Source organism: Homo sapiens, chromosome 2 (genome assembly GCF_000001405.40).
Source record: "Homo sapiens chromosome 2, GRCh38.p14 Primary Assembly".
NCBI classification, from domain to species: domain Eukaryota; kingdom Metazoa; phylum Chordata; class Mammalia; order Primates; family Hominidae; genus Homo; species Homo sapiens.
Window position 1 is genome coordinate 216,696,030 of NC_000002.12, and position 24,600 is coordinate 216,720,629.

General features: G+C 45.3%; 1 long non-coding RNA gene across 2 annotated transcripts in view, besides 1 other annotated feature; it reads left to right on the forward strand.

Annotated features, from left to right (window-relative positions):
• The window catches only part of IGFBP-AS1 (IGFBP5 antisense RNA 1), a 116,628-nt gene that overhangs the window by 1,584 nt on the left and 90,444 nt on the right, over window positions 1-24,600 (forward strand). For both annotated transcript variants that reach the window (NR_187138.1, NR_187139.1), the window contains exon 2: window positions 16,351-16,440. This is a non-coding gene — a long non-coding RNA (IGFBP5 antisense RNA 1). The remainder of the gene's footprint in view (window positions 1-16,350; window positions 16,441-24,600) is intronic.
• Window positions 2,897-2,976: a silencer, noted in NCBI's record as "silent region_12306". NCBI's record gives its function as "represses an Ori minimal core promoter by ATAC-STARR-seq in GM12878 lymphoblastoid cells {active_cell/tissue: GM12878}" and the evidence as "EXISTENCE:reporter gene assay evidence [ECO:0000049][PMID:35858748]".

A 24,600-nucleotide genomic window follows, 5' to 3' on the forward strand; every position in this document is an offset into this window, starting at 1 on the left:
TGTCTGTTTCCATGTGGGGTGTGTGTGTGTGTGTGTTTGGGGGACAGGTAGTGTAGAATGGCCAGTGATGTCTGGTGAGCTAAATTTAAAAAAGAAGAAAAAATTGAATTTCTCCCCTAAAAGTCTGGAGAAGAGGATTTAATCAGGGGGTTTCAGTACTCATGATGAAGAGGTGACCAGTTGCCTTCAGCTGCGTTGGCCAGGGAGGTTCTCTCTCTCTTTCTCTCTCTCTGTGTGTGTGTGTGTATGTGTGTGTGTTGTGTATCTGCAGGAATGGACATTCATACAACAGCATTATTGAGAGCAGTGAGTTGCAGAGATGGACACTTTGGAGGAAATGCTAAGTCTGAAAACCTTGCATGGTGGCCTAAAGTGTCCTTGTGTGTGGGGTTCTTAGAGGGAAGAAAGGTGGATTGGAGTGACACTTCCCTCTCTGTCACTTTGCAGAGGTATTTCTATTGGGCAGGGCCACATCCCTGGAGGGAGTGGGTGGCAGAGTAGCTGGAGGAGACCTTGTGATAGGTTGACAGGTTAGTTGGTGCTTATAGGCACATCCCAGGAATATGAGCTGACAGGGCCACAGGACCTGCTTGGAAGAGGTCCTGACCAGGAACCGAATCATGCCACTAGAACCTCTTTAATAAAATGAAAGAAAACTAAGGCCTTGAAATAGGAAGGTGGTGGTTTTAGCTTTTTCTGAAATTGACCTGAGTGAGCCATGAGCCTCACAGGCAAGTCAGAGAGAAATGACCAATGTCACTGCCCCTGCTGGGTGGACTTGGTGTGGGCTGTTACACCTTTTACATTGTGCTTCCTCCCTTGAGAAGTATTCTAACTTTCCTTTGGAGAAGGGGCTGCATTTCATGAAGTTTGCCACTAGACTGCACCCTTATCTATGATAAGAATTCTTTCTGGAGGACTGCTTTCAAGAAAATATTTTTTCTTGCTCGTTCAGTTCAGGAGCATCTCACTTTATGCCGTTAACACCCCCAGATCCTGATCTCTCTTCTCACTTATCTATTTGCCGAAAGGCACATTTTAAAACAAGGTTAACGTCTAAAGTTATGTCTTTGCCTGTATTGCCAAAGGGGGTTTAGCCACGTGGTGGCTGGGAGAGGGAGGAGCATTGTGTGTAATGATTAAAACAAAAAATAGCAGCAAGGCTCATCTTAATTTCTTCTTTTCTCAGTCTGAGGGCTTGGTAAGGTAGGAACAAATCAATATTCAAAACTTTGGTGGAAATATTTTAGAAGTGAGGGAAATCATGTGTTATTTTGTCATTTGTGTCAAGTTCAGACTACAAGAGTGGCAGCAGAATGTGTGCAGTATGTTCTCTTCCCTGCTCCTATTTCTTTCTGCACACCCTTAGCAGCTCAGCCTGCCTCAGGCACACTGGTAGCTTTTAAGATGATTGGGGGAAATTGTGGTACTCCTTCCAAAGAAACATGAGTTGCCTCGTTCCAGTCACCCTGTATTCTGAGAGAGATGGCCTCTAGTGACACCTCTTTTTGTGTAGCCGACTTCCAATGGCTGGATAATACAATATGTGAAGACAGGTAAAAGGAGGGGGGATCATTCACAGAAAAGATAAAAAGGGTAGAGAGAAGGGGGGAGGAGAATGTGGTGGGAGCCGGACCCTGGGGCAGAGCAGTACAGGGGCCATGGAGAGAGGTTACTCTGCAAGACTGTAAATGTTAAGCAGCTATTCTTTTTTTTTTTTTTTAATACTTTAAGTTCTAGGGTACATGTGCACAATGTGCAGGTTTGTTACATATGTATACATGTGCTGTGTTGGTGTGCTAAGCAGCCATTCTTTATCTCCACTTAGAAATGGGCTTAGGTTATAAGGGATTCAGACACTGGAGCTGTTGTCCAAGAGACCCTGGGATAGGCTTCCCGAGAGGGCATGAGAGAAAGAAGAATTCTCAGTAGCCTGGGATTGTCTATAGTAATTTCATCCAAAGATGGAGGACTGGCCAGATGGGTGTTGTTTCTGAGTCCATAATTAACATATGACAATGGAGTGGGAAGGTGTTGGTGTTGTTACTGCAGGATACGGGATTATGGAGGATGCCTATGAGCCTTACTTGATTCCATTTTCCCCTTCCCTCCATTCTGGAGGTCTAGATCTGTTCACAATCACCTTTAGAAAATTGCTTGTAGAAAAAAAAAATAGTTTGCATCAACCAGGGTAATTGGGAGGGGATCATTAATTCCTGCCAGATACAAATGTTCCCTTCCTAGAGACCCCCCTGTGCTGCCGGCTTGCTTTCGCTGTCATGGGCTTCCCAACTCTGGCATAGACTAGCTTCTATACCTGTCAACTGCATCTTTTTCGGGGAAGTAGTATTTAAATATCAACCACTTGTGTCCCGTTTCCCCGGAGATCACTCCTCCTCTTTCCTTTAAAAGATTAACTGCTTATCAAAGCCAGCTTTCAAGAAATGCAGCGGAGTGAAAGATTTATGATCTTTTATCTGGATAACTTTTCAAAGGATAGATAGTGTTTTTATTTTATAAAGCTTCGGATGCCTTGCCTGTGGTCATTTCCTGTGAGTTTCTAAGTGATTTTCAAGGATGATGCCTGATAACACAGTTTGGGAAAGCTAGACTTTTTAGTAGGACACAAAGTATTGTGGATTCTACTGGTTAGAATGGAAAAATGTTAGCTAAGGATCTTGTCTTCATTCTCTTTTCTGTGTCACTCTCACCACTCTCAGACAGGCTTATTTATATAATTTATTCAATTTTTAAAGACCTCATGACATTGACTTCAGTCTCTCCCAGAGGCCAACACACATCAAGAATACTAATGCTGCGGCCATGTTGTCCTGGTCCCAAACTAAGGTACAGTGATGTTCAATAAAGAAAGTGCCCCCTTGTTCAGGTCCTTCCCTAGCTCTGGGAGGTTCAGCAAGACTGAAGTCTGTGTTAAAGAGCAGCATGAGGCAACTTTGTTGTAGTGATATTGCTGAAGGCTAGGTGGCAGGATAGATACATCATTAGAAACACGCCTCCTTTCACGAAGGGAAAGAAGCAGATACTGGTAGAGGTGTTTAACAATGGGGATGGGGCAACGGGAGAAGAAAAAGCATGGATGGAAGGACAGGTACGGACACCCTGTGGGTCCACTTATAGGCCACCCCAGCATCGGCACTGCACTGTTGCCCCAATAGCACCAGGCCAGCCTGAGGTGCAAAACCCTCTGTGTCCCACCAGATGCTGTGTTCATGATTACTTTTCTTTGGAGAAAAGGTATGGCCAGGGTAGGAACTTGATGACTTTGGGTTCATCAAAGGGTGTCCTAAACCTTCTCTGAGGAATAATCAGAAGTGATCTTCAGCCACAATTCATAAAAATTCCCCCTGTTAAATTAAAAAAAGGTAATTATGGCACATTTCAAACATTCAAAGAACAGAAGATAATAGAGCATGTGCCCTCCACTCCCTACACTTATTTGACACATGTTCACTTTTTGCCGTTGTTGTTGAAGATTTTTATTTTTTTTTATTTTTGAGATGGAGTCTTGCTCTGTCTCCCAGGCTGGAGTGCAGTGGCACGGTCTTGGTTCACTGCTACCTCCACCTCCCAGGTTCAAGCGATTCTTCTGCCTCAACATCCCTAGTAGTTGGGACTACAGGTGCGCACCACTGTGCTTGGCTAATTTTTGTATTTTTAGTACAGACAGGGTTTCACCATGTTGGCCAGGCTGGTCTTGAAATCCTGACCTTGTGATCCACCCACCTTGGCCCCCCAAAGTGCTGGGATTACAGTCATGAGCCACCGCGCCCAGCTGAAGATTTTGTTAAAAGAGAAGTAGAGTGGGACAGATAACAGCTCACCTCCCATGCATGCCATCCCCGCATCCTCTTCCCTGGACAGAGGTAGTCAGTGTCCTGAAATAGCTCTGTATCCTTTCTGCACAATATTTTTCTAGGTTTTATGTGTAGTTTCTCATAGAACAGAATTATAGTGATTTTTGAGGGTAAAACCATGTGCTACTTTAGAGTTAATTTTGTAGTGGTGCTTGCAGTGGTGGCAATTTAACTAGAGTCTAAATTGACCCTGAGGCTGGCTGTTAAAGGAGCCGGAGCCAGCTGTGACGCAGAGTGATTTATATCCCGATGTGAGCCGCATATAAGTTAATAGCTGCACGAATTGATGTTAAGGAGGCTTCTGGAGCAGTTCCAGACAGATAGGGCAGAGCAGGGCAGGCTCCATAAATACTGTTTCTGGTTGGAGCCCTTCTGTCTTCTTGGATCATGGGATCTGGCATGTTCCTACAATGGACCGCTCAGAAGCTGTTTCAATTTTGGAAAATGAGATTAACCAGGAAAAGTGATCTGTTGTGACTTAGAGACAGTGTTGGTAGCACCAGATCTAGGTGGGAGAGAGATAGGGTAGGTAGAAAAAATGGAATCACATGGAAAAAGAGGAGAGAGAGAGAGAGAGTGTTAACTACTTGAAGCAGGTTTAATATGATTCATATGAACCGTGAAAAGGCCAAGTAAAATCACAGTGCATGGTTAGCAACTGAGATTTCACACAGTTTGGGAGGGAGAAGTGGTAAGAGCTAGCTTACCACTGTTAGTGCAGAGGGTAAATTTGTGTAAATTAGGAAAAGATGACCTTCCTCAAGATACTTTACTTCTATTCATCAGAATATTGTTATAAAATACAGATTCTGTTAGGACAGGAAACTTTACTGCCTCTTCCAGGAAATTGTCATAATGAATGTACCTGTCTGTGTCTGCTCTGTGAATAGCACCACTTAAACGGGGTTCTTGCTGTGTCGTACACAATCTGCACAGCTCTATGCAATGGCCCTGGTTGGAAGAGCTAAACTTCATATCTAAACTAGCAGGAAACACTGCTTTTCTACTAGTGTGGAAAGCATGGGTCCAGTGACGTGATTTGATCCGTTACTGGGGCTAAGGGATAGTCCTGAAACATTTAAAGCAGCTGCCTCTGGCCGTGTTCCCAGCTGGGTCAATCTAAACCCCTATGCCCTTCTTTCCTTAGAGAAATCAAGCTTTTCCATGCCTCCACACCTGTGCACAAACTCTTCATTCTGACAGGAACACTTTTCTTCTTCACTGCTAACTGGTGAGCTGCTAATTGTCATTAAAAACCTGGATGAAATCACATCTACTTTGGAAGATTTTGCTGACTCTCGTGTGTGATTTCCTAAGTGCATCTTGCTAGTGCCCCTGGAATCCTCTGTGTCTTCTTTAGTAAAATAGGGGGAAAATATTGTCTGCTTCAAAGGGTTGTCGTGGGACTTGAGTGAGGCAGTCCGTGTATATCTTGTTAGTGCTTAATCAATATTACCTGCTGTAGTCCCATCTTCCCCATTAAACTGAGGATCTTGAAGGGCCCCAGGTTTTATTCATCTTGGTTTTCCTCCTATCCTTACCTTTTGGACATGAGCCCTTAGTATAGTTTCTAGCACAGAAGGCACTTAATACATTATTTTTAACTGAAAAACATTGAGTGTGGTGGCTCTTGCCTATTATCTCAGCACTTTGAGAAGCCGAGGTGGGGAGATCACCTGAGGCCAGGAGTTCAAGACCAGCCTAGGCAACATGGTAAAACCCTGTCTCTACAAAAAATACAAAAATTAGCTGGGCATGGTAGCCCACGCCTGTAGTCCCAGCTGCTCAGGAGGCTGGGGTGGGATGATCACCCAAGCCTAGGGAGGTCAAGGCTGCAGTGAGCCGTGATTGCGTCACTGCACTCCATCTTGGGTGACAGAGTTTGACCCTGTCTTAAAAAAACAAAAAGAAAGAAAAATATTTACCACCCCTGAATTATTCCAGCGTCTTCCAACATCTTCCTAAACGCCTGAGTTTATCTTTGCATCATTTTGCCGGACTGTTGGTAATGTCTATGTTGATGTGTTTCTATTATGTTCTTTCATATACTAGTCTGGTCAATCCTGTATATTGCAAATGTAGCTTATAAACTCTTTACAAAAATTCCAATAGAGCCCTATTGTTGGACTTAAAATATGTTAATTGTAATGTAACTTAAATATGTACAAACATTTTAAGGTGTATGCTCTGTATGCTAACCTCACTGTAAAATCCAACTAATATGTAAATAAACCCAACTAAAGTTACAAACTCAACAAAGTGCAAAATGACGACATTAATTTGTGTGTTGATTGGTGTTTGGTTGATGTTTTGCTGAAAATAAATCACTACTCATGTTGTGATTATGGTTTAACTGTGACAGTGCAAGTTTTTTTGAGCTTGGCATGCACATTTGATATTTTGTTTGATGATTTAACTCTCCCACTACTTTTTTTTTTTTTTTAAAAAAAAACAACAGTGGAGTCATGTCTTGCATAGTGGTTAGTTTTAAAGTCATCTTGAAATACAAAAATTGAGTATAATCAAGATTCCCCATGAAAAGTCCTTAAATTACTTACAAAACAAAATGGTACTGCCAAATCTTCACTTTTTGTAACATGGCACCATGTCACTCAGCCTTCACTCAGCTTCCACACATTATCTCAGGACCATGTCTGCTTCTGCTCTTTAGCCCATCAGCAAATGACAATGAAAGTGGTGTTACTTGGCTTCTATGCCTTAGAAAATGAAAAAAGTCTTCTAGAGCTGAATTAGGTGGTCATCCAGATGACCTAAAATATGTTTATTTTCGAGATTATTAGCAAAATGACACATACACACATATATTGCAAAACAATTAGCATAGAATATATCTCTAGATCACTCCAGTTTGAGAAATACTGGTGTACTCCTTCACTGTCTTTTTCACTCTCATCCAAGATGGCTCTGTACTCAAGGAGAGCATAAATGGTATTCAGTGACTGCTTCTTTGGTCCAGGCCCAAGGAGTTACCTCCTCATCAATACAAGGAACACAGACACTTGACCATGAACCGAAAGCTGGGTTCACAGTTTCACAGACTCTTGAGCTGACTAGAACTCCAGGAAGCTGGTCTGCAGAGATTCTGTTCCAACTTTTGGTCTGCTGGCAAGGCTGTGAAGTCACTCAGTTTAACTAGGCAATTATTGGGTTTTAAATAGACTCAGGACTTATCCTCTGAGAGCTCCTTTCTAGGCCAGACACACTTGACCAGCTGGGACAAAAAATCTACACACAACCAAATGACAAATCTTGGACAAAACCACACTTTAAATATAAACAACATGAACAGTCTCTAGTATTATGGCTCATGTGTGTATGTGTGATGGGGGGTATATTGGAAGCTACATACAGAGATGTCATGGGGCCAGGAGAGTTGGCTACCAATTTGTTGGTGAATGAGGAAGGAGGAGATACTGTTTACAGCATAAACATCATGACTTAATAGGTCCTTCGCCTTGTGTAGACTTACAACAGGTTAATGCACCAATTCGATTACCAAGCAGAGAACAAAAACATCTTAACCTCAAGCCAACCAAGAGAACATCTATTTAAAGCAAGGATTGAAAGACCAGGCTGGGCACAGTGGCTCATGCCTGTTATCCCAACGCTTTGGGAGGCCTAGGCAGGTAGATCTTCTGAGGTCAGGAGTTCAAGACCAGCCTGGTTAAATGGTGAAACCCTGTTTCTACTAAAAATACAAAAAAGTAGCCAGGAGTGGTGGCAAGTGCCTGAAATCCCAGCTACTCAGGAGACTGAGGCAGGAGAATCTCTTGAACCTGGGAGGTGGAGATTGCAGTGAGCCGGGAGCGCGCTACTGCACTCCGGGTTGGGCAACAACAGCGAAACTCTCTCTCTCAAAAAAAAAAAAAAAAAAAAAAAAAAAAAGACTGAGTCGACAGAGATGTGGGATTTACCCAATTGGCATAGATTAAATGTGGAGGGTGGGTTTCTCTGAGACCCAAATGTTGAATATCACGTTTATTTTTATTAAAGCAGCTCATCCTTCAGCAAGTTGCATAACTTTTTCTGGTTCAATTTATTCTTCTGTAAAGTGGATTATGGTACGTATCAGTGGGGTGTTGTGAGGACTAAATAAGATCATCTATGTAAATCACTTAGCACAGCACCTACTACAAAGTATATTAGTTTGCTAAAGCTGCCTTAACAAAGTACTACAAATGGAATGACTTAAACAACAGAAACTTGTTGTCTCACAGTCCTGGAGGCTAGAAGTCCAAGATCAAGCTATCAACAGGGCCGTGCTCCCTCTGAAGGCACCACTTCTGGAAGAATCTATTCCAGGCTTCTCTCTCAGCTTCTAGTAGGTCGTTAGTTTGTGGCAGACTTCCATCTTCATATTGTTTTCTCCCTGTGGTGTATCTGTGTCCAAATTTTCCCTTTTTAGAAGGACACCAGCCATTTTGGATTAAGGGTCCACTCTACTCCAGTATGACCTCATCTTAACTAATTACATGTGCAAGGACCCTATTTCCAAATAAGGGCACATTTGGAGGTACTGGAGGTTCAGACTGAACATATGAATTTTGGGGGACACAATTCAATCCGTAACACACTCAAGTGGTAATTATTATTCACAATGTCTTTTAAAATTACCTTTTGGTTTTTTTGTTTTGTTTTGTTTTGTTTTTGAGACTGTCTCCCTCTTGTCACCCAGGCTGGAGTGCAATGACACGATCTTGGCTTACTGCAACCTCCACCTCCCGGGTTCAAGCGATTCTCCTGCCTCAGCCTCCTGAGTAGCTGGGATTACAGGCACCTGCCACCACACCCAGCTAATTTTTGTATTTTAGTAGAAACAGGGCTTCACCATGTTGGCCAGGCTGGTCTCGAACTCCTGACTTCAGATGATCCACCTGCCTTGGCCTCCCAAAGTGCTGGGATTACGGGTGTGAGCCACCACACCTGGCCTCTGTGAATATTTTTATATACAAAATTTTCAGAACTGCATCTCTCTTCTCATAGTCCTTCTAGGCCTTAATTTTGCCTAGAAAAAAGTGCCATGAAAGCAGGCAGTTTGACGGCTGTGTTCACCATTGCATTGCCCAGGGCCTACAAGAGCAACCGACATATAGTAGATGCTCAAATATTTGTGAGTAAATGAATGAAGTCTATTTCTTTCCTCCTTTCCTCTTTCTATTTTTTCTTTTGATTACTCAATAGCCAGCTTCTCTTTCTTGTTATCTTTTTTACGTTGCTAAAGTATTAAAGGCAAAAAAAATAAAACCAAACAAATTTTAATTTTCTTTGTTGATAATTACTAAATCCTCCCTAATCACTTGCTCTCTGCAACCAGTTAGAAACCCAACCAGATGGGAAAGGGCCTGGGAGAGTAGGGGGTGGGGAGAGATGCCTGTGTTGGAGAGAGCTGGAGTCCACTTGGGGCATTTCCTAGGGGTTGATATGGGCCAGGGCTGGGAGTCTGGAATGAATGGGACTTAATTCTACTCAATAGTCTGGGAAGAAATAAATGAGGTCAATATTGACCCTAGAGGTTCAAAGTCAAAGTTTAAATGAGGCACCACCAGTAAAGGCCCCAAAGATTTGGTCACCTGCATCAGATGGTTTCTGGCCTGCAAACACATAGGGAGTTGTAAAATCTTGGACTCAGGCAGAACCCGGAATATGAAATACAGGGAGAAAACACTCTGTATTCTAGAAATCCTGAGATAAACTGTCATATGCTAAGCTTCTCTGGAGTGGTCTCTGGACCCCATCTCCTACTCCCCAAAAACAGAAATGACTGAAAACTGCAGACACACTAATCATTACTGATTAACTGTCATCATCTGTGTACATATGTATTTATCCACCTACCTACCTTTTTCTCACAGCTGTAAAACAGAGGTTACCTATGCACACTGCCCTAGAAAGAAACAGGAAGGATACTGGCTGGCTGGGGACTGGGAGATGTGGGTTTAAGGGGGACAGTTGCAATTCACTTTTTGCCTGTTGTCACCATTTGGGTCTCTGAAAACAGCATTGGCTCACCCTCCCCCACCTTCTTTATTCCCAAAGATTTGACTGGTTATTTAATTATATTAACACAAATCATTTCATTGTAGAGAATTTCAAACAGACACAAAAGATGGCTCTCCCATTACTCCATGGCCACCCTGTCCCATATACACAGCTCCATCTGCTCCCCCCATTCCCATTGACTGGATTTTAAAATAGAATGAAAACATGGCCCTTCAGTCCAGGCACAGTATTATGTTTATGGGGCATCTTTCTTCTTACACCCTGAACACTCACCTGCATTTCCTGACTAGTAAGTAGGGAGGGGGGTGATTCCTCTCTCTATTGGAGAAGAAAATTTGGTGATCTATAGAAGTGAGTGTTTGGGGAAAGTGGGTCAGTGGAGGATGCAGGTGAGGTTCCAGAGTCTGGACATACAAGAGGATGGGGTTGGGGGCAGATGATCTGGGCAGAGAAAGCAGTGAAGCAAGAGGTGGAGAAAAGGGGGTGGAGAGGGCACATCCAGGTGAAGCGTCCTGAGTATAGGGGAGCCCACAGGACTGGAACAAGTGAGGCTGGTGGTACCTATCTAGGGATCATCCGCAAAACTGTGGCAATATGAACATGACCTCCCACAGAGAATCACTGGGCAGAAGAGAGCACCTGGTCTGAGCTTAGGAGAAGAGCCCGAGTTATTGCTTGAGAGGAAAAGAGGAACAGAGAAAGAACAGTCTGGAAATAAAAGGAGCAACTGAGGCATCAGTCTCTGCCTTCTTGAACTAGGAATGCTCTAAGAGAAAGAAGAAAATCACCATAATAACACCATTAGCCAACTTTCATAGAAGCCTTCTTACATGCGAGCCACCTGACATGCATTATTTTACTTAATCTTCACTACAGCCTTATAAGGGAGAGCACATTTATTAACTTACTTTATAATTGAGACTGGAGGCACTGAATGGCTTAAAAAACAAGCCCAAGACCACACAGCTACTAGATAGAAGAGTTGGGCTACGAGCTCAGGAAGTTTGAGCTGGCAGTCTCCACACTTAACCATGCCAACCTGCCTGCCTGGGGAAGCCATGGTTGGTTTCGCATGATAAAGAACTGCCACTGAAGCCTGAATTAAGGGAAAGGGTGGTGGGTTGCCGAGAGTAGAAGTCGATGAGAGCCACCACATGGAGTCATCAGTACAGACCAAGCAGTCAGTCTAAGAGATCTTTCTTGGAAGAGGGAAGAGAGAGGTAGTGGCTAGATTGATGACTGTGATGGTTAACTTATGTGTCAACTTAACTGGGTTAAGGGACACCCAGACAGCTGGTAAAACATTATTTCTGGGTGTGTCTGTGAGGGTGTTTCTGGAACAGACCAGCATTTCAGTCAGAGAACTGAGTAAAGCAGATTCACCCTTACCAACATGGGCTGGCATCAGCCAATTCACTGAGGGCCCAAATAGAATAAAAAGGCAAGGACGATTGGGTGAACTGGCTCTGTCTTTTCCTGAGCTGGGACATCCATTTTCTCCTGCCCTTGGACATCAGAGCTCCTGGTTCAAAGTTCCCCTGAATCTCACCCCCAATCCCCTCCAATTCTCAGGCCTTTGGACTGGGAGTTACACCAGAGGCTCCGCTTGTTCTTAGGCCTTGGGACTCAAACTGAATTACACTATTGGCTTTCCTAGGCTCCATAATTGCATGAACCAATCCAATAAAAAAATGTCCTTTCATCTGTGTATCTATGTATTTCTCTATGTATCTGTATATCTATGTATTAGCAATCCATCCATCCATCCATCCATCCATCCATTCATCCAACCAACCACCCAACCATTCATCCATCCTATTGGTTTTGCTTCTCTGGAGAACTCTGACTAGTACAATGGCCCTAGGAAAACCCTGGTTTTCTGCAAAATAGAGGGGGAAGTGGAGAAGCTGGTGACAAGGGAGACAAGAGGCGAAGGCAGGGAGTGGACATAGGAAGACAGCTGGAATAGATACTTTTTGGTGTGGGTGGAGGGGCTTGGTTTCTGTGCAGGCAATGAAGGCAGAGAGGTGATTCCAGGAAGGAAGGAGGGATGAAGGGCACCTGTTTGATTTGACCATGGTGAAGGAAGTCAAGAGCTTGTCATCATGTCAAGGTGGGAAGAGACTGGAACCTATGGAGAGAAATGAGTGTGTGAAACAGCTGGGATAAACTGGGTAGGATGGCAGACTCTTGAGATTGCCAGGAAGTTGCTTATCCTGAGTCCCAGAGAAGTGTGCAGTTATACTTCTCGAGTTTTCTTGGTAGTGGCTTAACTTGATCACAGAGTGCCAGCATTGCAGAGATTGGTTAAGGCAGATGGAGGCCTGGAAATCAGATCAAACTTGCTCCTCAGTGCCTTCACCCTGCTTCTGCCAGCTCTGTGCCTGGCATGCAGGATGGGAAAGAAGAGAGGTGGTTTGGAAGCAGGAGGCAGGGAGCCCGCATCCCTGCCTTACCCTACCTCCTGCCACCACCTGGGCAGCACTGCAGTGAGCTCCAGGATGAGAAGGCTGACTCAGGTGACTGAGAGTCTCCTCTTAGAGCAGGTTGCTGCCCAGCTCCAGGGCTGGCCAAGCCATCTCTCCAACCAGATTTCAGAGAGAGGTGGCTGGCAGGAGCATGGTGATCTCACACGCCTCAGCACACTCCTTTCCCACCAGCTCCTGGGAGGTGTGGGGCATGCTTAGGAACTCCATGCTTTCAGCCTCACTGTTTAGCAGGATGGCCATTTATGCCCAAGGTTCAGATTCTCAGAGTGGTCCCTGTCCCCAGAGTAAGAACTACTTACCCTACCTCCTGCCACCACCCCGGCAGCACTGCAGTGAGCTCAGGAGTGAGGAGGTTGACTCAGGTGGCCTGATTCAGAGCAGGCACCCAACTACTGTAGAGCGAATTTCCCCCTGAACTCCTGGGGTAGTGGCCAGTGCCCCCAACTCCTAACCCAAGTCCAATTACCCAGCAGGCCCAAAGAAACATGAGTAAAGCTTCCATCTCTTTTCTAGACTTACACGGATGGGGCTCTGCCACAGGCATTGGCTATAAGAAGGTTGGTCTCTCTTAGCCATACGTTGCGACAGCAACAGGAAGAGAAAGATGCGGCCTCGTTAAAGCCCATTGGGAAATGTGAGCAGGATCAATGCTAGTTGAGAAATCTGGGGTACCTTTTTAGTAACAGCTTTATTGAAATATAATTATTCACACACCATACAATTCAACCATTTAAAGTGTACAATTCAATGATTTTTAGTATATTCATAGAGCTGTGCAACTATCACCACAATTAATTTAAAAATATTTTACCACCTTGAAAGAAACCCTGAGCCATTTAGCTATTACTCTATAATCTCCCCAACATCCTCTACCCCTAAGCAACTACTCATCTACTTTCTGTCTATAGATTTGCCTATTCTGGATGTTTCATATAAATGGAATCATATAATAAGTGGTCTTTTGTGTCTGGCTTCTTTCACTTAGTATAATGGTTTCAAGGTTCAACCATGTTTCAGCATGTATCAGTACTTCATTCTTTTTTATGGCTGAATAATATTCCAAGGTATGGATATACCATAGTTTGTTTATTGATTTATCAGTCGATGGACATTTTAGTTGTTTCTAGTTTTTGGCTATTAAGAATAATGCTTCTATGAACACTTGTATGCAAGTTTTTGTGTGAACACATGTTTTTATTTCTCTTGGGTGATGTACCTAGAATTGAGATTGCTGGGTCATATGGTAACTCTATGCTTAACTTTTTGAGGAAATGACTGGCTGTTTTCCAAAGTAGCTTCATCTTTTTCCATTCTCTGGGGCAATGTATGAGAGTCCCAATTGTCCACAGTCTTGTCAACACTTATTATTATCTGACTCTTTGATTATAATCATCCTACTGGGTATAAAGTGGTATCCATTGTCATTTTGATTTGCCTGATGACTAATGATATTAAGCATCTTTCTATGTACTAATTGGCCATTTGTATATCTTCTTTGGAGAGATGTCTATTCAGATCCATTGCTTTTTATTTTATTTTTTTTTTATAAGATGGAGTCTTGCTTTGTCACCCAGGCTGGAGTGCAGCAGCGTGATCTCGGCTCACTGCAACCTATATTTCAAGGGCTCTATAGCCACATGTGCCTAGTGGCTACTGTATTGGACAGTGCAAATATAGACTATTCCCATAAATGCAAAAAGTTTTACTGGATGTTGTTATAGAGGCTAAGTTACATGTCCAAGATGACATATGGGTCATACATCATCCTTAGGCTCTGAGTCCTTGGATCAGTGCTAGATCTCAAGCATGAACCTAATTGACAAGAGAGAAAGGACTTACAAGAGGAAGAAACATTAAGTTGTTTTCATGGTTCTAAAGTTCTGTTGTATTTTTAAAAAGTCAGAAGAAGCCACCAGCAAATGAACCCAAGTCAGCTGATGTTTCATGAGAGTACTTCAGCACCAGGCACTGTGCTTTATTTTGTGTTACCAGGAACACAAAGTTGAGTATGTTTCCTGATTGCAGAGATCTTTACGGTTTTCTGTGGAAGACTGGACACATACAGTTAGTACAAAGCGCATACAGGTATTATCTTCAGAGAGATGCAGGCAACCAGCCTGGGGGCTGGGGATTAAGATTCACTCCCAGGGGCATCTCTATAGTACACACACCTTAATAGATGTCCTATTTTTCCTAGCCATTTAAGCACCCCCTTGTCTTTTTGACTCTCCCAGAGAGCATGACCAGCTTCAGGGAAGAACATACCGATTGTGTTATTACAGGGCTGTGCTTCGACACTGGCTGACATCTGGCCAACCCTACAATACTAAAACTGCACAGACTCGCAGTGCAGAAGAGGCTGACAGCCCCAGTGAAAAACTGAGTTCTCCAGTTCTAACTTCCAGGGGTTATTCAAAGTGTCAGGGAAGTGGGGCAGGGAGTGGCGGAGGGAAGACATTCTAGAAAATTGATGAGGAGTGTTTGGGCTGGGGCCTTTTGGAAACTGCTCCCATCCTGAGGCTGGCCCAGCCTGCCCCATCTCAACCCAGTGCCTTTGAAGTGTGTTACCTGGACAGGGAGCTGAGCCATGCTTGGCAGGAAGGGGCGGAAGGCTGTGTGGTCTGGCACAGGGCAGAGCAGAGGGGCAGCGGGACTAAGCTAGGATCTGGTGCTGACTCAACGGCACCTCTGCAGCCAGCATTCCGCCAGCCAGTCCAGCTGGAAAATGAGGGAAGGACCAAGTGGAGACCTCACTGAGAAATCCAGATGTCTTTCACGAGAATAAACAAGGCAGCCCTCCTTTCTTTCTCTGGCCCGTGTTTCTCGCTTTGTGTGTGTGTCTGTTTCTGGGTCTCTGGGAGTGTGTGTGTGTGTGTGTCTTTTAGCTTTGAGCATTTTTCTCTGTTCCCTGTGCTTTTACTTTCCATATAGATCCACGTCAGGGCTTGATTTTGGTCTCTGCCTCAGTCACTGTCTTCAGGTATCACTGGGCAGAGCCCGTAGTATCCCTCTCACCCCACCCACTTCCCTATACCTGTCTTTAACTTCCCTTCTATTTCAAGCAAGGTCCGGGTTTCTGCTGAGTCTTCTGAGTGGTGTGTCTCGGCGGCCTCGGCTCTTCCTCCTTGACAATAGAAATGTTGGGGGTAGCGGGAATAGAAAAAGCTCTTGACCTGGCAAAGGCCTTGCAGGGCTCTGGCTCTGTTCGTTGCTGGAGCAACAGCAGAGTTTTTTTTTGTTGTTGTTTTTTTTTGTTTTTTTTTTTTTGTTTTTTTTTTAATAGGCACTTCTGGTATAGGAACAAAGAACAACAACAGAAAAACCCACTCCTTTAAAGTATGTACTTTTCTATGGCCTTGGATTTCATTTTTCTTTGCCACCCCGTGCCTCACCCCCAGAGTTCTCAGACAGGCCACACATCTTCCATCTTTCTACCCCTACATCCTTCCTATTTCTCAGAAAGCAAAATCCATTTACCTCCCCCTGGCCTTCCTCTCTCATCCCATTCCTCCTCATGTAGTGTGATTTGGAGAGTAGCTTGACTTTAATTGTCTGCATCTCATTTGACTCAAGTTTCAGAGGGACACCCTTGTTCAGAGTCTGACTCTGTCCGAAAACATACCAGCTGGGAGTCACACAAAACTGAGTTGGACCACGATGCCTCCCTCAGCTGAGTGACCTTGGTGTGTGCCATTTTGAGCTTCAGTGCTCCTCACTTGTAAAACGGAAATAATTTAACCCACAATGGTGGGAATGCAAAACAGGATAATATACATAACCTTCTTAAGCATACTGTTCAATAAGTAAATGGGCTTTCGACCTGAAGTTCCAACTCTTCACATTCACTGTGGATAGCAAAGAGTGTTCTCTCTTTTTAAGATAGCCTTGGCTTCTCCTCTTAATGTATTCCCCTTTCCTTCTGTACCAGGCCTAGTGATAATTGCCTGTCCTGCCTCTGTTCACAGGGAGCGAGCCTCAGTGCTTTGAACGCCTCCTGCTCCATCACAGTGACTGCTCAAGGCAGGACACCTGATCCTATCGGAATCCACCCACGGGTGAGTCTGGGACAATTCGATTCTCTCTTTCATAAATGAAAGAATGAAAGGCACACAGGAGGAAGGATCAGTTAGGGGCAGTCATGGGAGGTGAGAAGCCTTAGGAGGATGGAATATTGGAAGAAGGATAAGAGGAACAAATAGCAGCAGGCGAGGAGGATGGAATCAAGAGACAATGGCCCTGGATCACAAAGGCTTTTGGTTCTCCCGTTCCAGGGACCCATGACATCTTCCCCATTTTCCCATGACATTCCTGGTACCTTTTCAACCACGCCTCTATTCCCTTGAACTAGTTGGAGGGGGTTTCTGTTCCTTGCAACCCAAAGAGCCTTTATGAGAACACCGCCATGGATTTTCTGATTGTGAGTGCTGCTTGGCTGTCACAGAAGTCCTCTTCTTCTCTCACCTCGAAGGGTTTGGGCATTCTGTGTCTTCATGGAATGTCAACTCTGCAAGGTGCTGCACGACAGGAGTTCATTCTTCCATCAGTTTTCAAGCTAGACAACTTTCATGCTTAGGAAACTCCTGTAGCATCCAACAATGTTCCTCTTGCTGCAGTTTGAACTCTTCTTCTCATTGTTCTTCTTCTTTTTTGAGATGGAGTTTCGCTGTTGTTGCCCAGGCTGTGGTGCAATGGTGTGATCTCGGTTCAATACAAACTTGGCCTCCTGGGTTCAGGCGATTCTCCTGCCTCAGCCTCCTGAGTAGCTGGGATTACAGGCGCCTGCCACCACACCCAGCTAATTTTTGTATTTTTAGTAGAGACTGGGTTTTGCCATGTTGGCCAGGCTGGTCTCGAACTCCTGACCTCAGGTGATCTGCCCACCTTGGCCTCCCAACGTGCTGGGATTATATGCGTGAGCCACTGCACCTGGCCTTTCCCCCGGCCCCCGCTCCTTTGGAAGCCTTGTAGCTCAATTTTTTTTTTAATTGATTGGTTTCAAGGAGACCAGAGATCAGACTCTGAATTTCTCAAGGGAGAGATTCTGGAGACATAAAATCTGTTTTGAAAGTTTTAAACTATATCTTACCTTTGCAAGATGCCTGATGTTTTGGATCTCAGCCCTATTTTTTTGAGAATTCACCATACGTTCACAGACATCATCTCTTTGTTCCTTCCCACAATATCTGGCTGGCTCAGTGAACCCATTCTCCCAACCTGGAAATAGAAGCCTAGAAGAAGGCTGGCTGGGGGCTTGCATCTCTGAGGCAAGTCAGCTTTGGAAACCTGGGAAGAATGCCTCCTTTCCCCACTATCCCAGGCTCATTGCCAAGCTGCCAGCTAGAGACCCGAGCTCTGGGCAGAACTCATTTCAGAGTGAGTCAGAAACATGAGGGAGTCTTGTTCACACATGCCGACCAAGGGAAAAGCCCCAAGGGAGATGTTTCAAGGAGTCCTACCAGAGACTCGGGAGATCTTTTCTCTTCTCTATTGGAAGAGACAGCCCACCCACTTGGCGGATGCCCAGCTCTCCAGACTGAGTGCCAAGAAAAGAATAAGAGAGGTCCTGAGACCCTGGCTCCAGGGCCATGGTCTGTCTCTATGGAGTACAGGGTCGGGACCATTCATAACAGGCACAAAACACTCCTCTGGCCCTTTAGCAAGAGAGCTGCTATGACAGCACCCCCACTGACCTGGACATCTCTGTGATGTTACCTTAGAAACCAGAAAAAGCAATCTAAGCCACTTCTTTGATTTTCTCTAGCATCTGGAAATTAAACTTTTTACACGAGCCAATACTTTTAGCCTTTTTCTTAACCCAAACTTCCTCTCCCAGGACTGCTGTGGAGGGAGAATTTAGAACGGGTGAGCTAAGAACCTTCCGAGATGCCAAAGGTCTTTGACATTTGGTGAGTTTGAGTACTCCTAGTACTCAAGGGCAAGTGCAGTCTGGTTGGATCTCTCCAGGTAGGGAGCCTTTTAAAACCCCAGAATTTCCAGGTGGGCACCTCCTTCCTTTCAGCATTGCATGGGCCATGGCCATCAATGAGGGCAATTTCCTTGCACCACAGGTCCCAGGGACAGTGTCTCTGCGTGGCCTGGTGAGGGGGAAGGGCCTCCAAAATTAGATGACTAGATTTCGACTCATGGATGACATTCCTGAGTGAGATCAGGGGTCAGGCAGGTGGTAAGAGGCATGAAAAAAATGCACTACTCCCCAGCCCCCCAGCCCTGGGTAATATTTTAGATGACTACATGCAAATAGGGAGAATTCACAATGGATCGAGGTTCACATTAGTGGACAGAATGTTTATGTGGGCCTAGGTGAGAGTACCTCTGTGGAGAACCTAGAGGCAGAGGCCTGAGGGTTAGGGAAGCCTGATAAAATCTAGGGAGTCCAGTTAAATTTGAATTTCAGATAAACAACTAATAAATTGCAGTAAAAATGTGTCCCACTCCATAGTAGACACATTTATATTAAACATTATTATTATTATTATTTGAGACAGAGTTCTGTTCTTTTTGCCCAGGCTGGAGTGCAGTGGCACGATCTCAGCTCACTGCAACCTCTGCCTCCTAAGTTCAAGTGATTCTCCTGCCTCAGCCTCCTGAGTAGCTGGGATTACAGATGCCCGCAAAAATTATTTGTCTAAAATTCAAATTTAATTGAGTGTGCTATATTTTTATTTGTTAACTCTGGCAACTCCACTTGGGTGGGCCCAGTCCCTGGCATCTTCAGGTTTTTGTGGAGCTGGTGTGCACGCACATCTGCATGTAGGACATTTGGGGTACCAAGGCAAATAGAAATATCTAGGCCAGAGGTCATTTCAGTGTTTGTTTTGTTTTGTTTTTTGAATGATTCCGTAATTGTTAATTTTCTATTTCAAAACATTTCTCAAGTCCTTGGAGATCCTTGGAGAATTCCAGAGGCCCTCCAGAAACTTGACCGATAGATCTTCTTAATTAAATTTCTCCAGTAGGTCACTGGGAAGAAGGAGCTAGCTGGGAGTCTTAGAGTCATATGTGATCTTCCCCCTTTCTTTCTGTCATTATTTCAGATCGCTGTCCTGCACTCCTCTTTCTTCTCTCTGGCGAGCCACCAAGGAGATAAAATATGAAGCCAGAAGCCCTAAGAGCTTAGGCGTGGTGGGGAAAAATAAATCTTAGAGAGGTTTGAGTGCATGAGAGAGGGGTATCCAGCAAGGGCTTTGTGGGCGCGGCGAGAAAAAGCTTGGGGCTAGGACTCAGGGAACTCTGGCAGGAGTTGAATCAGTCCTCTGCCGGTCTAGGAATGGCAGACTCCACACAGCTGGCTCCGGGCTGTGCAAAGGGAGTGGCAGGTGAGGGCTGTTAGCCCCTGGCTCGATCCTGGAGCCAGGCATCACAGGTTGCAACAAACTCCAAAAAGATTGCCCAGGCCGGGAGCAGTGGCTCATGCCTGTAATCCCAGCATTTTGGGAGGCCGAGGTGGGCGGATCACGAGGTCAAGAGATCGAGATCATCCTGGTCAACACAGTGAAACCCCATCTCTACTAAAAATACAAAAATCAGCTGGGCTTGGTGTTGCGCGCTTGTAGTCCCAGCTACTTGGAAGGCTGAGGCAGGAGAATCGCTTGAACCCGGGAGGCGGAGGTCGCAGTGAGCTGAGATTGTGCCACTGTACTACAGCCTGGTGACACAGTGAGACTGTCTTAAAAAAAAAGAAAAAAAGAGATTGCCCGGAGCACTCTGGTTGCCCTGGAATAGCAGTGTAAGTGCCATTGCCAGGCTGGGATGTCTGAATCTTTTTGTTCAGGACAGATTTGCCACTGTTTGATGCTAGTTTGTCAGAAGACTTGACCAATATTAAATAGTGTTAAGTGTGGGACAGAGGTGAGGAAGCAAGCTGGTTCCAGGTTTCCAGCTCTGGCAAGCTCTCCTGTTTGCCTGGTAGGACGAGTCCTCTGGAACCAAGTGGTTCCTGTGGCATCCAGGGTAAACGTCTGCTCCTTGGCTTCTTGGCTACCTTCTTGGGAGACATTTGGGTCCCAGCTCTAATGCCTGGAAGCCCACACTTTACCGCAGTGAGTGAGGGGCCTCCTGGGCCAGGGCAGGCTGTTCAGCCCACCAGTATCTCATTCTCTAAACCCAGACAATGTGCCTGACTCCAGCTCCTGGAAAAGCTGGGTCTGGTCAAATGGGAGGACTCAACGTGTTAGTGCACATGGGAGGGCAGGATTTCTGCTGTTTTCCCTGTCCCTCCAATTTATTGGCCAGTGCAGGCACCAACCAGTCCCCTGCTGACCCTGCCAAGGCATTTTTCTTCTTTTTGCCACACCTTGAACTCTCATTTAGCTCAGGGTCACAGACAAAACCATATACCCCTTTAGCCTCAGTTTCCTCATCTGTAAAGTGGGTGGCACTTCACCCATAACTCAGCCTCAAACTAGGACATCCCTTCCTTAAGCCTATGCTGATGTAGATCAGACTTAGAGTTAAGAACCTCTTCGTAAAGGCTCTCGGGTTTGTCTCTGATATTCCCATTTTCTTAAATTTGGGGATTCATGAAGATCTTGAGATATAATCCTTGGGAATGTCAAGAGTTTACTGTACATTAAAACATTGATAGTGTGTTGTCTTGTGTTCTGCGACAGTGGATGATCTGAAGAGTCTTCTTTGAATCTTTATGGATATGCATTTTTTTTTTGGTACAGTGAGAAATAAACTGTAAAGACTTTAAAGTAAACTTTTAAAGACTGTTATGAGAGGGAGAGGTCCCAGTCACTTGTTCACCTGCTTCTCAAGGGTGCTAAGGGGTGAGCAATGGTTTTGTGTAAGGAGGCAGAGATTCAGTTCCATGACCTCTGGAAGGACCTTGCAGTACACCATTCTGTGCTCTATGCGCACAGTCCTTTCCTGCACTTGTCTGGGGGAGCCTGTCGCCAGGAACCAGAAGAGGAGAAGAGAAGGAGAGGGAATGGGAAAAGGAGACTGGAGGAGAGAGAAAGAAGAGCAAAAGAGAAAACTGCACTATCACGAAAAGTTTGAAACCTTCCTTTCAACTTTTCCCTTATAATTAGTGGACGCAGCTGGAGGGAAGAACCCTGGGTGAGTTGCAACTTGTTGGGCTCCAGCCCTCAGGATGTGTAAGACTGGCACAGTGTTTGGGCAGAAGACTCAGTTCTCAGATGGCTCCTCCTCCCTCTCTGTCTTTTCGTTTTAATTCCCTGCCTGGGAGGGGCTTGTGAGGCGTTTGAAACATTTTAGTGTCCTCAGCCAGGAAGCCTTTCCTACAGGGCTGGCCTGGAGATGCGGGGAAGGAGGTGGTCGAGGCAGTCTTCCTTCTGCAGTGACTCAGGAGCCAGCTCCTAAAAGGGCCTGGGGGATGTTGTGGGGAAGGTCCTGAAGGAGGAATGGGGAGGGCCAGGATCCTGCAGGGGCAAGTGCAGTCTGGTTGGATCTCTCCAGGCAGGGAGCCTCTTAAAATCCCAGAATTTCCAGGTGGGCATCTGCTGCCTTTCGGCATGGGAGCAGCCATGGCCATCAATGAGGGTAATTTCCTTGTATCATGGGTCCCAGGGACAGTGTCCCTGCATGGCCTGGTGGTGAGGGGGCAGGGCCTTCAAAGTCAGATGACTATATTTGAAACCTGAGTCTCTGCTTACTGTCTGCATAAGCTGCAGCAAGTTACTCAATTTCTCTCTGTCCCCCAGTTTACTCATCTGGCAAATGGGTACAATGGTAATATACCTCCTTAAGAAGGCTGCTCGGCATAGCTCCTGGCACATGGTGAGCATAGGTATCAGCTTCTGTTATTGCTATAGTGGGAGACCACATGGGTTTTGCCTGTGAACAGGACACTCCTGCCTTCTTGTCCCACTCAAGAGTTTGCTGCAGCAGAAAGGACTGAGATTCCGTGCCAGGGAGAACTTCCATCTGTAAACAGTTGATATGGCCCCTGGAGGCAGAGGTGTTGCCTTTGCATTGAACCAGAGCTGGTCCCCTGGCGAGGCTGCATGGAGGTGGCCGTGCGTGCAACAGAGGGCCCTGTGGCTGGTGCAGCTCCTGGCTGGGCGATCACTCCTCTCCTGTCCCTATCCAATCAGCCGTGCCTAGAGCTGAGTTCTCACCTTTTGCCATCATTCCTGTGCAGTGGCCCCCAGGTGAGCAGCACAGGTCACAGGAGAGCAGAGGGATTCTTTGGTGTCATCCATCTGATATGAGGTACTTCTCCCTGCAGGTTGGCCCGGCCAAGCACTGTGCTATTAGCTGTCTTTTACTGAGAGTCTAGGATGTTCCAGTCACACGACATGGAATATTTCTCATCTTCACAGCAACTCTGCAAGTAAGGATAATCACTCCCATTTCCTGGAAAATTACGTGATACTTAGTGAATTTTTTTTTTTTTTTTTTGAGATGGAGTTTCACTCTTGTTGCCCAGGCTGGAGTGCAATGGCGTGATCTCGGCTCACTGCAACCTCTGCCTTCTGGATTCAAGTGATTCTCCAGCCTCAGCCTCCCAAGTAGCTGGGATTACAGGCGCCCACCACCACGCCTGGCTAATTTTTTGTATTTTTACTAGAGACGGGGTTTCATCATGTTGTCCAGGTTGGTCTCAAACTTCTGACCTTAGGTGATCCACCCAGCTTGGCCCCTCAAAGTTCTGGGATTACAGGCGTGAGCCACCACACCTGGCCGTACTTAGTGAATTTAAGCTACATGCCCAAGGTCGGACAGTTTGCAAGTACAGTACAGGTTCGCGGTAGGGGTTGGAATGAAAAATTATTAATATATGGTTCCAAAGCTTGGGTTCCTCATAATATTAAGGTAATTGACGTTAATGGAGCCATTGCTATGTGCATTGTTTTACTGAAATGTTTGCACCGACAATAGAACAGTTGTTCTTTTATGGATGAGGACATTGTGGTGTAGGGGAGCTAAGACCAGACTTTCTTGGATTGTCTTCTTTAGTCTGGCTAGTATGCTTAAAGTGACTGTGGAAGTCTGTTTTGCTCCAGTGGTAGCCCTCTGTTTACCTACCAGGGAGCCCCGTAAGTCTTAGAATTCTACAGCCTGTCCTGGACTTCACACTCTAGGGCCCCACAGGCAACTGCCTCTGTCCCCCACTAGACCATTAATGCATTAAAAGTTGAGACTGTGCTTACTCACTTGGCATCTACACTGCCTTATGCATAGTAAACACTTAACAGTTGCTCTCTAAATGAAATTGGTCACCATAATAATAGCTAACATTAACTGCTTACTGTATGTCTGTTCTGTAGACTATACCGTATGCATTCCCCTGTGTAATCCTCGAAACAATCTCATTTGACAGATGAAGAAACTGAGACCTGGAGAGGTGAAATGAACCTTTTCGGTGTCCCTAAGCAGCAAGTGGTAGAGTTGGAGACAAAAGAAAATTTTCTGCCTTTAAATCCTGTGCGTTTTTCTTTACAAGTGTCTACAGTACCCTCCTCACTAGAGCCTCCTTCTTTCCCCTTCCCCATGGTTTCTGGAGATGGTTTTTCCTAATCTCATTCTGCAAAAGACGTTTGCAGAATGCCCATCTTGGAGCAGGGCCACTGAGGCCATCAGGAACCCACCAACACGCTTTATTTCTTGCAAAGCAAGAGGCACTTTAAGGCCACAAGCCTGACCAGTCAACTTCAAAACAGCTGTCAACCTTTGCTTTCTATCTTCATCCATCTTTGGGTTCTGAACCCATTCCTCTCACTTAGGTAGCTCCAGAGCCTTCAGAATTAGGGTTTTCACTCTGCCTTGCAAGAGGGTGATGGGTTTCCCTGGAGGCAGTTCAGTAACGTGCACCTATCTCTCCTCCTCTGCCATCCTTTCTTTTCCCATTCATCTACCTCCCTAGGCTGCAGGTGTCAGTTAGGTACCCTTGAAGGATTGTAGTAGTGTCCTCTTGCTGCTATACCAAGTTACTCCAAAGTTAGTGAATTAAAACAGCACAAATTTATTCTTTTATAGTCCTGAAAGTCACAAGTCAGAAATGAGCCTTAGGAGGCTAAAGTCAGGATGTTGTAGGGCTGGTTTCTTCTGGAGGCTCCAGGGGAAAATCTATTCCTTGCCTCTTCCAGTTTCTAGCTGTTGGCACACCTTAGCTTCTTGGCTTATGGCTGCATCACTCCAATCTCTGCCTCTGTTTGTCATCACATCACCCTTTCCTTTCTCTATATGCAGTGCCTGCCTATCTTATCATAAGACCTATGTAATTA